Here is a 13,271-nt window from a genome sequence, read left to right on the forward strand (position 1 = left end):
ATGTTGGCCAGGCTGGTCTCGAACTCCTGACCTCATGTGTGATCCTCCCACCTCGGCATCCCAAAGTGCTGGGATTACAGGCATGAGCCACCGCACCTGGCTGGGACATGAACTTTAGGGCACACACTATTTAACCCACTGCACCGCATTAAAAAAAAAAAATCAGAAAAGCCAAAAATTTAATTTTATTAATTCTAATTTTTACTTTAACTGAATATTTCAAAATATTATTATAATATGTAATCAATATAAAATAATTCTTAATGTGATATTTTAACATTTTTTAATACGAAGTCTTTGAAATTCAGGGTGTATTTTCAAACACTCATAACACATCTCAATTTTTATTGCCAATTTTTAAAGACTCCGTATTCGCTTGTGGCTGGCTGCCACATCTTGGACAGCACAGTTGGAGTGCTGCGGGGCTGACAAAACTTTTATGCTTCTCAGTGTTTCACCCCATGTTGTCTCCCTCTCTTCATTCCTCTTAGTTTTCAGGGAATTTTAATTTGTTTGGGAAGTCTCAGTCATTATGAACAAAAGAAATAAAAATATACTTTGTACTGGGATCCCAAGACTCAGTGGAGGAAGTAAAATCAGCCAGTTTTGAAAGAAAAGATCTTTATTCAGTTACATTTTTAAGCATCAGTGTTTATTGTATGGTAGAATTCATTAAGCACTCTATCACAAGTGGTTTCAACACGTGCGGTTAATATTCAAGATGTAACTTTTTTTTTTTATTGAGTAGGGGAAATATAAGACCTTATTATTACAGATCTCCCTGCCATGAGATTTGTGACTCACCCATTTATGAGCCCCCAGTGAACACAGCCATTATTCTCTGTCATGTTAAGACAAGAAGGGGCATAAATAAACTTTTTTTCTGGGCTGACTGAACTTAGTCTGTTGCAACAATGAAGTTAAGATCTATATCTCTAAAACTCTGTGTTGTCTTCTCCAAGAATTTAAAGCTTGTTACTTGTTAGCATGCATCTCAGGGCAAGGCAGAGTTTTATAAGCAAGCCCATAGGAAGAAAAGTTTTAGATCCTTGAATTCTTTCTTTATTTATTTTTTTATATTTTTTTAAACTTCTGAGACAGGGTCTCACTCTGTCACCCAGGCTGGAGTGCAGTGGTGCGATCTTGGCTCACTGCAACCTCTGCCTCCCAGGTTCAAGCGATTCTCCTGCCTCAGCCTCCCAAGTAGCTGGGATTACAGGTGCCCACCACCACACCTGGCTAATTTTTGTATTTTTAATAGAGATGGGGTCTTGCCATGTTGGCCAGGCTGGTCTCGAACTCCTGACCTCAGGTGATCTGCCTGCCTTAACCTCCCAAAGTTCTAGGATTACCTGTGCCTGTCCCGTCTGGCTTAATTTCATTTCTTTTTTCTTTCTTTCTTTTTTTTTTGTTTTTGAGGCAAGGTCTTACTCTGTCACCCAGGCTGGACTGCAGTGGCGCAATCTTGGCTCACTGCAACCTCTGCCTCCCGGGTTCAAGCGATTCTGCTGCCTCAGCCATCTGAGTAGCTGGGATTACAGGTGTGCACCACCATGCCGACTAATTTTTGTATTTTTAGTAGAGATGGGATTTCACCATGTTGGCCAGGTTGGTCTCGAACTCCTGACCTCAGGTGATCCGCCTGCCTCGGCCTCCCAAAGTGCTGCAATTATAGGTGTGAGCCACTGTGCTTGACCCTGTCTGGTTTAATTTCAACACGTCTTTACCCACTGCGCTGTAGCCACATTGGCCTTTACTTTCTGTTGAGCAAGCCAGGCACTCTCTTGCCTTTGCGCTAGCTGTGTTTCCCTTATACTAGATACCTAATGACCAACTCCCACCTTTCTTCAAGTCTTTGCTCTAAGGTCATCTCAAAAAGTCCTAGTTAAAATTATACCTTTTATCCCACCCTCTGCTAAGTTCCCTGTACTCATCCTTTTTTCTTTCTTTCCATAGCACCATCACATTCTCCAGTATATTCTATAATTTACTCATTTGTGTTAATCTTGTTTTCCCCATCCCCGGCTACCCCTAATGTAATCTCCAGGAGAGCAGAATCTTTGTTTCATAGTCAATAGTACCTGGCATGTAGTAGGCCTCAATAAATATTGTTGAAAGAATGAGTCAGTGTGCATAACTGCTTGGCTTGAAATGCTGTTCTCCAAACTCAAGGTGTTTTTGGTTATTACTGTTTTTTCCTTCTAGGTTTGGCCTGCCATATTTAATTGCTTTGTTGGGGCCATTTAGTCATTTTTCTTTCTCTAACTTAAGGTCCTTTGGGAAAGGGCTGTGGATCAGACCAACTATTCAGAAAAGCTGGAGGCTTAGGGAGTTCCTGGAAGTAGCTATGCGGCAACTAAGAGAGGTTGGCCCACAATAAGGGTGGTTTCCTCTGACTCTACAAAATCTTAGTGATACTTTTGTAGGGGAAGAAAGCTGTTTTCCCTTTACCATTTTAGGTGCATTGGTTGGGGCCCTGTCAGTCAGACTAACAGAATACATTAACAAGAGAAAAACAAAAACAAGTTTATTGACATATTCATTGCGTATGAACATGAGAGCACCCAGTGAAGAGTAACTCAAGGAGGTAGTTAGAACTTGGGCTTATAGGCTATCTCAGCAAAGACTAGTAAATTTTTAGAGAAGTGAGAAGACAAAGGAAAAGGACCTTGAGCTGCTAGGGACAGCAGATTGTGGGAAGGCAAGTATGTGGGGAAACCAATGGTAGATCAGGGCTGGTTTTAGCAAGGTTTGTTATGTAGATTCCCCTGGTACCCTATCTGGGCTGATAAAGGTCAAGAGTTGTCTCCAAGATCAACTTCTGTCCTTCTTGTTAGAGAGGGAAGTGGGGATACCTTTAAGAATTTATGTCCTGCTTCTGGGGATATAGGGGAGGGCAGAGAGCTTTTCTTTTTCTTTTCTTTTCTTTTCTTTTTTTTTTTTTTGAGACAGAGTCTCACTCTGTCGCTCAGGCTGGAGTGCAATGGCGCAATCTCAGCTCACGGCAACCTCTGCCGCCCGGGTTCAAGTGATTCTCCTGCCTCAGCCTCCTGAGTAGTTGGGATTACAGGTGGCTGCCACCATACCCGGCTAATTTTTGTATTTTTAGTAGAGACGGGGTTTCACCATTCAAGACTGGCCAGGATGGTCTTGAACTCCTGACCTCATGATCCACCCGCCTTGGCCTCCCAAAGTGCTGGAATAACAGGTGTGAGCCACTGCGCCCGGCCAAGCTTTTCTTGTATCTGCATTTTAATAACCCTTAGGCCAAAGTTGTATATTTCGGTTTGCCATATTCTCCTATTCACTGTCTTCATTGTAAATTCTCATGACAATTTCCTTCAAGAACATGGCCTCTGAGATCTTTGCAACCTCTGAAGAGGTGGATGGTTCATTACAGAGAATTTCAAGGCCAGGTTCAGCCTGGCAACAGAGAACTCTGGGGGTAAGAGTTGGGCCTTCCTGATGCCTAGACAAAAGACGGTCACTTGAGCTACTCACTGGGGGATGTAGCTATGGGGATGCTGATGTAGGTGCTTCTCCTGGCCCTGCCTTCTCCATCCTCATTAATACAAAATGGGAAAAGCAGTCAGGTTAGGTATTCCAGATTCACATGGCCCACTGAAAAGGACTCATTCAAAGGCAGATTTTTCTTCTACCATGACCCTTCTTACCTTGCCAATCGTTTATTCTCTTTTCTTTCTTTCTTTCTTTTTTTTTTTTTTGAGATGGAGTCTCGCTCTGTACCCAGGCTGGAGTGCAGTTGTGCAATCTCGGCTCACTGCAAGCTTCGCCTCCCAGGTTCACGCCATTCTCCTGCCTCAGCCTCCTGAGTAGCTGGGACTACAGGCGCCTGCCACCACGCCCGGCTAATTTTTTGTATTTTTAGTAGAGATGGGGTTTCACCATGTTAGCCAGGGTAATCTCGATCTCCTGACCTCGTGATCCGCCCACCTCGGCCTCCCAAAGTGCTGGGATTACAGGCGTGACCCACCGTGCCCGGCCTCTCTTTTCTTATACTGTTACACATATATACACACTTCAGAAATGATCTCTGTCCTGGAGAATTTTATGTATGAGGTCAAAGCAGCAGCCACTCTGACAATTTTCTTCAAATTAGACTTATGCTGCTGGTCACGGTGGCGCACGCCTGTAATACCTGCACTTTGGGAGGCCAAGGTGGGCGGATCACCTGAGGTCAGGAGGTCGAGACCAGCCTTGGCAACATGGTGAAACCCTGCCTCCACTAAAAATACAAAAATTAGCTGGGTGTGGTGGTGCATGCCAGTAACCCCAGCTACTCAGGAGGCTGAGGCACAAGAATCACTTGAACCTGAGAGGTGGAGGATGCAGTGAGACAAGATCTTGCCACTGCACTCCAGCCTGGGCAACACAGAGAGACTCTGTATATAAAAAAAAAAAAACCAAAAAGTTTGGATAACTGTATTACAAAAGTAAAAATAAGTCAATATTAATAATATCTTTTCTTTAACCCATATATCCAAAATAATACATTTAAACATATAATTTCAATATGTAATATAAACATTGTTAATGATGTATTTTATATTTTGCGCTAGTCTTCTAAATCTGTATATTTTGCAACTACAGTGCACTTTGATTTGAACTAGCTGGATTTCTAGTGCTCAATAGCCACATGTGGCCAGAGGCTACCGTACTGGATAGTATATGTAGATGGCTCTACCCTAGAGTGACTTCATCTGTGTTACATGTTATTCTAACAATGTATCTTCTGGTTTCCCAGCCACAGCTGACTTGAAGCAGTAAATAAATGGTGAGAGTGACAGAGTGCTAAGAATAGTAGAGAAGGGGCAGAAGAATTATTTTTATAAGTGGCTGAGGTCATTCATTGCAAGCACAAATGAAAGGTATGAACCTTTCATACGTTGAGACCTGCTGAAGCATACAGTGTGGTACCTGGTAGAATAATTGATAATTTTTCATGCTTGCCTTCCATTTCATAGGTCAGATCACTTAAAGAAGGCTACATCATGTTCACTCTTGGCTACAAACATAGGGAAGTGTGAAGAGTATGTGGACAAAGTTAAGGAAGCTTTCTATCAAGTGTTGCTAAAATAATGGTGTTCTAGTACAGGAAACCTGGGAAATGTACGTGTAAGTAGAAACCCAGGACTACATGATGAAGCCCTCTTCATTTCTAAAGCTGGGAGCTCACAGAAGTCTTGGAGGAGCCTGCAAGTGTGCCTTCAGCTGGGTGTGCCCCGTCTCATCTTCCTAAGATTGCTAACTTCTTCGGTTCTATGGGTTTCCCTTCTGGTCCATGGGGCAGAGATGCAGCTGGTGCCTTGGAACCTGCAAGGCTCAACCTTAGCCTAGACCTTAGCTGTGTTTGTGGGACATCAGGAGTCTGGCTTGTGGATTTGGAATGTCCATCTTTTGAGATGGACTTTCTTGGAACTCACCACTTCATGGACACCCACTGGGGGCAATGGTAGCAAAGTGTGTGGGTCAGCTGCGTGAGCTGTAGCATGCAGATTCCAGCCAGCAGACAACAAAAGAAAACAAAAAGCAAAGCACTCAAATCAAATACCACCTTTGGGTTTTCTGTTTTTCTCTTGTGTATATGGCAGACGACAAAGTCAGGGGTGAGGGGATAGCTGTCATATAATTAGTGTACATTGTTCTCATGTAAAACCATCAGTCCACGGCTGCCTGTTAAATAATTTTGTCTCTTTCTTTATTCCATTTTTAGGCCGAGGAGTCTTGTAAATGTAATGGCTGGAAAAACCCTAACCCCTCACCCACTCCCCCCAGAGCCGACCTGCAGCAAATAATTGTCAGTCTAACAGAATCCTGTCGGAGTTGTAGCCATGCCCTAGGTGAGTTCCTAAATCTTCAAGGAAAGTATAACGAGTTCATTGTAGCGTGAGACTCTTAACTTACTGAATTCTGTGGGTTCACCAAATTTGAATGCTGTGTACCTCTGTATGAGAGCAACAACAAGAGCCTCTCTAGTCTCACGAGTTTGCTGGGAAGGGCTTCTCGTGAGAGACAAATGCTGCACTGTGTGCAGTGACTTTGTCCCTTCTTCCTTTCAAGAGCTGAGTTGGACTGGGGGATTGCCAAATAAGATGAAACATGACAATCGAGCTAGTTAGCATGAATAATGTGTAACATGTCCTGATTCATTTTGGGGGTTGGGGCCTGAGGGTCTTTGACCTCAGGGTTGAAACCTCAACCAACTGGTTTAATGATAATAATGATCATTTTTATTATTTCTGTTGCCCTGAACTTTCTGGGGTGCTTCATTTTATCTTCATATTCCTTAGTTTTGTGTATCTGATAGCTCTTTCTTCACTGGGCTGCTCTTTATTGTGTTTATTGAATGTTTACTGGTGGTTTCCCTTTCAACTTTCTTATCTGACCCTGCAAAATAATCATTGTCAGTGATGGCTCAGTAGGCTCTGCTGCAGTCACTCAAAAGGCCTGTGCTAGTATGTTGTTCTTTGTCCTAATACTAGTTTTATGATTAAAATATTTAAAAAAATCATGTGTTGTTTGAGTAGATAAAAGTTGAGGAATTAGTTTTTCCTAGATACTAAAATTTCAGTCCACGAAGAATCTTAGACTATTCTTACTTTCCTGCCTTCAGTTATACAGTCTCCCCCAAAATGTCAACAAGGCCAGTTTGCTGTCCGTGACTGCAAGGACATAGCACTCACTGGGCAGAACGTTCTTGCTAAGGTAGTTGCTCTTTCCACCTGACCATTATAAGTGGGTGACTTCTTATGCCATCATTTCTCTAGAGCTTCCTGCTTACAAGAAATGGTGTCGCCTCCAAGGTTAGCATGGTGTTAGGTCGTCTGAAATTTTATTTTGTACTCAGAGAGTATTTCAATATTTACAGAGCATACAAGTAGATAATGTGATCTTCCCAAGAAGTCATCACATTGGAATAACCTTCTGAAAATAGAAATAGTCCTGATCTCACAAAAGCAACACACTAATAATTTCATCATTTTGTTGACTTAATTGGTATCTCAAACAATGTGAGCTCTGAGTTTTGAAGCACTCAATACAGAGCAAAAATTTCAAAAGTTAGAGAACTGTCCTTGATTATAATTTACCTTTTTAAAAAAATAAATAAATAAAACAGAACGAAACAAAACAATCACTAACTCTGAATGGAGTGAATGGAGTTTAGGATTGCCTCAGGAAATGTGACGTAATAAATGTCTGGACTCAAGAAATCCTTAAGCCCTAGGCTTGAAGTGTATTTGTTATTGATTGGGAAATCCTATTATCCTACATCAATTAACATTTAAAACAGGATCTTCTTTCTTTCTTAGCCGAGCAGATTGTCTCCATTCTAAGCACGTAAACACACATGAATGCCTGAAGGCAGAGACAGTGCTTCACAAAAAAAGCCAACTTTGTTTCCTTTTTTATTTCTTACCAAGCTTTGAAAACAAATGCCCTCATTCTGCAATACATAATCAAGAATGAAGAATGAAAAAAAAAATCACATATCCTTTGACCTGGCAAATCCATGCCAGAAATTTAATCTGTGTGTAAATTAAGATGTGCCCTCAAATTAAACTAAAAGGACGGTGACAGTGTTTTCTGGCCTTACTTACGATAGTAAAAAGCATGAAACAACCTAAATATTCCAATGTAGGAGATGATTGTGAAGAAATCAGGTAATAAAGCAGCTTGATAGGAGGTTTTATAATTTAGGACTAAATTATTGGATCTATCAGCCTGAGTTCAAATCCTAACTCTATAACCAGTAGCTGTGAGTATGAGCACATTACTTAATCTGCCTGGACCTCAGTTTTTTCAACTCTGAAATGGGTTAATACATAGTAGTATTTACCTTGCAGGATCATTGTGAGGATTAAATGAGATAAGAAAAAATCTTAGAATAGTACCTGGCATGTAAATACATGATTATTGGCTGATGTTGTTCGTAGTAGTGGTACTATAACACTATCAGGGTTCTTTTACTTCACACAGCAGATATATACTCTGTCTAGCTTAAATAAGAAAACAATGCATATAAGAAGGGTACTAGTAGCTTCTAGAAGCTGAAAACAATGGGAAAACAGGTTTTGATCTTGTTTGGGGATCTCAGCTGCAGAAGTTCACAGAGCTTCTGTTCAGTCTGCTGCCACTGAATCATTTAGGATTCAACTCCAACTGCCTCTGTCCCTGTGAGTATTGGTTCAGGATTTAAATACCCTGTGGAGGAGCTTGTGCCTGTTATGTGTTTAACTCTGAAGTTTACCCCAAGGGAACTAAGAAGTTGGTCCTTTCCCAAATACAGGATGCTGACTCAGAAACAGCATTGATGTTTCATGAGTATGATCCCATTTTATTACTTTAGAAAATATAATACCATAAGGCCGGGCGTGGTGGCTCACGCCTGTAATTCCAGCACTTTGGGAGGCCGAGGCTGGCAGATCACAAGGTCAGGAGTTCGAGACCAGCCTGGCCAACATGGTGAAACCCCGTCTCTACTAAAAATACAAAAATTAGCTGGGCATGGTGGCAAGCACCTATAATCCCAGCTACTCGGGAGGCTGAGGCAGGAGAATTGCTTGAACCTAGGAGGCGGAGGTTGTAGTGAGCCGAGATTGCACCACTGCACTCCAGCCTGAGCGATATTGCGAGACTCTGTCTCAAAAAAAAAGAAAAAAGAAAATATAATAGTATAAAACTTTTTTCTATTTTACTCAACACAGAACACTTCTGTGACCAGATGTGTGGGTTTTTTTTTTCTTCACTCACCAAGCAATTCTCCCACTCTCTGAACACTAGCTGGAGGTCCCATAATTCATTTCGGTTCTGACATGACCTACTTGGAGATAGCATCACATCCCACAGGTTAAGGGCACAGTCCCACAATAGTGCTCCCACTTCAGATGCCAATTGCAAGTCCCAGGTTATGACCTTTGCTTCTGACCTACCGGCTATAAATCAGGGTTCCCATCATACCCCTTCCTTGGTTTCAATAATTTGCTAGGATGGCTTACAGAACTCAAGGAAACACTTCAGTTTACTGGTTTAATATAAAGGATACACAGACAGCCAGATGAAGGGATGCACATTGCAAGGTTTGGGGAAGGGGAGTGAAGCTTCCTTGCCCTCTCCAGGTGCACGACCCCCCAGGCACCTCCACATGTTCAGCAACCTGGAAGCTTGAGCCTGTAATCCCAGCTACTTGGGAGACTGAGGCATGAGAATCGATTAAACCTGGGAGCAGAGGCTGCAGTGAGCCGAGATCTCACCACTGCAGCCTGGGCGACAGAGCGAGACTCCCATCTCAAAAAAAAAAAAAAAAATTTTTTTCATACGGCTTTATCTCTACACTTTCCCTCCCTTACCTTTCTTGTAGATTGATGGGTGGGGTTGAAGGTTCCAATCCTTTAATCTTCTAATAACCTGGTCTCTCTGGTGAGCAGCTTCATCCTGGGTTATCTGTGCACTATCTTAAGTCACCTCATTAGCATAAACTCAGGTATGATCGAAAGGGGCTCATGATGAACAATAAAAGATACTCCTCCTGCTCAGGAAATCCCAAGGGTTTTAAGAGCTTGTGACAGGAACTGGGACAAAGACCAAGTATATTTCATACTATACCACAAACATGTATTTTAATATATATGATCAGGAAAAGGTCTGGAAGGATGTATATTGAGTTGCTGACTGATTTTCTCAGGGTACGGGGGGTATAGGTATTTAAAAAATATTTCCCCCTACTCCTTCCTTTCTTCCTTGTTTCTTCTCTATTCTTTAGTCTGCTTTCTTAAAACTGAAATTACTGCACATTTTCAAGTGGTCTTGGAATTATTGTTGGAATGCCAGTGTTTATTTATTGGTCTTAGTATAACAGCTCTAGAAAACCTTTTTCTGAGATTACTCTTCCTTCCTCCCTCCTTTCCGTGCTTTTTGAAAAACTTTTTTTCTTAATGGAAAGTTTCAAACACCCGTAAAGGCAGAAGGGATAGTTGAATGAACTGCCTTGGACTCAGCACCCAGCTCTAATGATTATTTACATTTGCCAATTTTGTTGTATCTAACCCCCTGCTTTTATTTGCCAGAGTATTTTAGCAAGTTTCCTACATTTTTTCTTATCTTATTCATGCAGATATCTTCTTAATTGTTACCGACAAAGTACAAGTTGGGGTCTAGGGAATTCTGTTAGGAATTACGCAAGCCTGAATTCTCAAATACATTTCAGTTGGTATACATTGTTGTTCTGTTTTCACATACAGTAGTCACCATTCTGAGCATGGTTGATTTACTCACCAGTAATTGTACACACGAAATGAAATATTCTTGAATTTGTCAGAACAAAACATACTGGCTTATTGATTGAGATAGTATCAATTCTATTGATTAAATGTTGGGTTTCTTTTGCCTCAGCCATATATGTTCTTTGGAGCTGTGGTTTTGTGTAGTCTCCTGACAATTTCTTTCATCCCAGACATCTTTGGTCTACCATAATTTAATACTGTTCTGTGTTTCATGGACATAAAACACAGGAGTGAGATAGTCTGATCAAGTAGAAAGAACATTCAGTTGGGAACTAGGAAGTAATAATTCTAGCCTGTCTGGGTATGGTGGTTTGTGCCTGTAATGGCAGCTACTCAGGTCGCTGAGATGGGAGGATCCTTTGAGCCCAGGAGTTTGAGGCCAAAGTGAGCTGTGATGGGGCCACTGTGTGTGTAGCCTGGGAGACAGAGCAAAACCCCACCTCTAACAAAACAAAACCAAGAAAAGAATTCTAGCTTGGCCCTGCAGTTTACCAAGTTCCTTAACCTTTTTGCTGTTTAGTATCTCCATCCACAGAATGAAATGGTTGGTCTAGACCTATGCTGTACAATACGGTAGCCACTGGCCACATGAAATGTGTTTACTCTGAATTGAGATATACTGTAAGTGTAAAATACACACAGTTTTTGAAGACATCATAAGCAAAAACAATGCAGAATGTCTCAGTAATTATATTTTATATTGATTATATGTTGAAATGATAATATTTTGAATATGTTGGGTTAATGTATTATTAAAATTATTTCTACTGGAAAATTTAAAAATCACATTGTATTTCTATTGAATTGTGCTGGTTTAGAATATTCTAGTTCATTCTCTGAAATTATATTTGGGATTGGCACAATAATATTCAGTTTACAAAAATTTGACAAAGGGATCTAACAAAGTGCTTTAGTTGGTCCCAGCATTTCTCCTTATTTTAGTATTAATAAAGATTTTTCTTATTTTGGGACTGCTATTTAAAAAGCAGCTTGGGTCTTGCATGGTGGCTCACACCTGTAATCCTAGCATTTTGGGAGGCTGAGGCAGGTGGATTGTTTGAGCCCAGGAATTCGAGACCATCTTGGGCAACATGGCGAAACTCCACCTCTACAAAAAATACAAAAATCAGCTGGTGTGGTGGCATGTGCCTTTTAGTCCCAGCTACTCGGGAGACTAAGGTGGGAGGGAGGATGGCCTGAGCCTGGGAGGCAGAGGTTTCAGTGGGCCGAGATCGCACCACTTGCACTCCAGCCTGGGTGGCAGAGTGAGGCCCTGTCTCAAAAATAAATAAATAAATAAATAAATAAAAAGGCAGCCTGTTTTTACGAGCAGGAAAGTAGGAAACAAATCCTTGTGATCAAAACATAATTGGAATTTCTATTGTTATTTTGGAGTCCATTGTTCTGAACTGTTTCAGAATAGACTGATTATTAAATTTGTCTAGTAATAATATTTTAGTTTAGAGGTTTTTTGATTATTTTTCAGTGTTGTCACCTTTTTCTTTCTCTTCTGTCCAGGCTGATGTGCAGTGGTGCGATCTCAGCTTACTGCAACCTCCCCCTCTTGGGCTCAAGCGATCCTTTCACTTCAGCCTCTCGAGTAGCTGGGACCACAGACATGCAGCAACATGCCCAGCTAATTTTTTTTTTTTGTATCTTTGGTAGAGACGGATTTTGTTATATTGCCTGGGCTGGTCTCAAACTCCTGAGGTCAAGCGATCTGCCCACCTCGGCCTCCCGAAGTGCTGGGATTACAGCTACCGCACCCTTCATCATCTTTTTCTGATATATGTGTATATATATGTATATATATATGTACACATTCAGCAGTGGGAACTGACTGTTTTTTGTCACTATAGATTCCTTGCTTTTCTGCTTGTTTACAGTAGGGAATTTCTTTTCTGTTAACTTTTAAAATTTTGAGTTAGGCAGACCCCTCACCCTACAACCAGAATTGATTCAAAGAGACTCCCAGAGCTTTTTTTTTTTTTTTGAGAAGGAGTCTCACTCTGTTGCCCAGGATGGAGTGCAGTGGCGCGATCTCCACGATCTCAGCTCACTGCAACTTCCGCCTCCCAGGTTCAAGCAATTCTCCTGCCTCAGCTTCCCAGGTAGCTGGGATTACAGGCTTATACCACCACACCCAGCTAATTTTTATAATTATTATTATTATTATTTTTTAGTAGAGAGTGGATTTTGCCAAGTTAGCCACGCTGGTCTCAAACTCCTGATCTCAGGTGATCCACCCGCCTCGGCCTCTCAAAGTGCTGGGATTACAGGCATGAGCCACCACACCTGGCCTCTTTTTTTTTTTTTTTTTTTTGCCACAGAGTCTGGCTCTGTCACCCAGGCTGGAGTGCAATGGTGCAATCTCGGCTCACTGCAACTTCTGCCTCCCAGGTTCAAGCTATTCTCCTGCTTCAGCCTCCCAAGTAGCTGGGATTACAGGCACCCACCACCATGCCCGGCTAATTTTTGTGTTTTTAGTAGAGACGGGTTTTATCATGTTGACCAAGCTGGTCTCAAACTCCTGACCTCAGGTAATCTGCCCGCTTCAGCCTCCCCAAATGCTGGGATTACAGGCGTGAGCCACCGCTTCTGGCCTGAGACTCCCAGAGATTTTTAAGGAAGGTCAAGAGTTAGCTTTAACAATCACACTAGAGCTTACTTCTTGAGTATTATGAAGAAAATACCAGTATTTTTCTCATGGATATTTCAAGTATTTAAATCATTTAGGCAGATCATTTGACTCAACACATTTTCTTTGATCATACGACATTTGCATAGACTTGTACCATATAATTGCCCCCTCAGTTCCCATTTATACATGTACTGTGCAGATGCCAAAGGACGTAAACATGGGGCCCAGCTAGCACAATGACACAGCCTCCTGAATTGAGCCAGCATATTCCTCTTGGCTGGATGTCCACTGCTGGCTAATGCAGCCTTTCAGATGCCGGTTTCAGAGTT

At 41.6% G+C, this 13,271-nt stretch overlaps 1 protein-coding gene across 3 annotated transcripts in view; it reads left to right on the forward strand.

Moving 5' to 3' along the window:
* Positions 1-13,271, forward strand: part of KAT2B (lysine acetyltransferase 2B) — a 113,959-nt gene that overhangs the window by 26,153 nt on the left and 74,535 nt on the right. For 2 of the 3 annotated variants that reach the window (NM_003884.5, XM_005265528.5), the window contains exon 2: positions 5,735-5,861. In NM_003884.5, the coding sequence (NP_003875.3) occupies positions 5,735-5,861 (127 nt within the window). Of the gene's footprint in view, positions 1-4,765; positions 4,890-4,985; positions 5,066-5,734; positions 5,862-13,271 lie in introns of all 3 variants that reach the window. The other variant, XM_047449147.1, reaches the window with a different exon arrangement.

The sequence above is a fragment of the Homo sapiens genome, chromosome 3 (genome assembly GCF_000001405.40).
Source record: "Homo sapiens chromosome 3, GRCh38.p14 Primary Assembly".
Taxonomy (NCBI): Eukaryota; Metazoa; Chordata; class Mammalia; order Primates; family Hominidae; genus Homo; species Homo sapiens.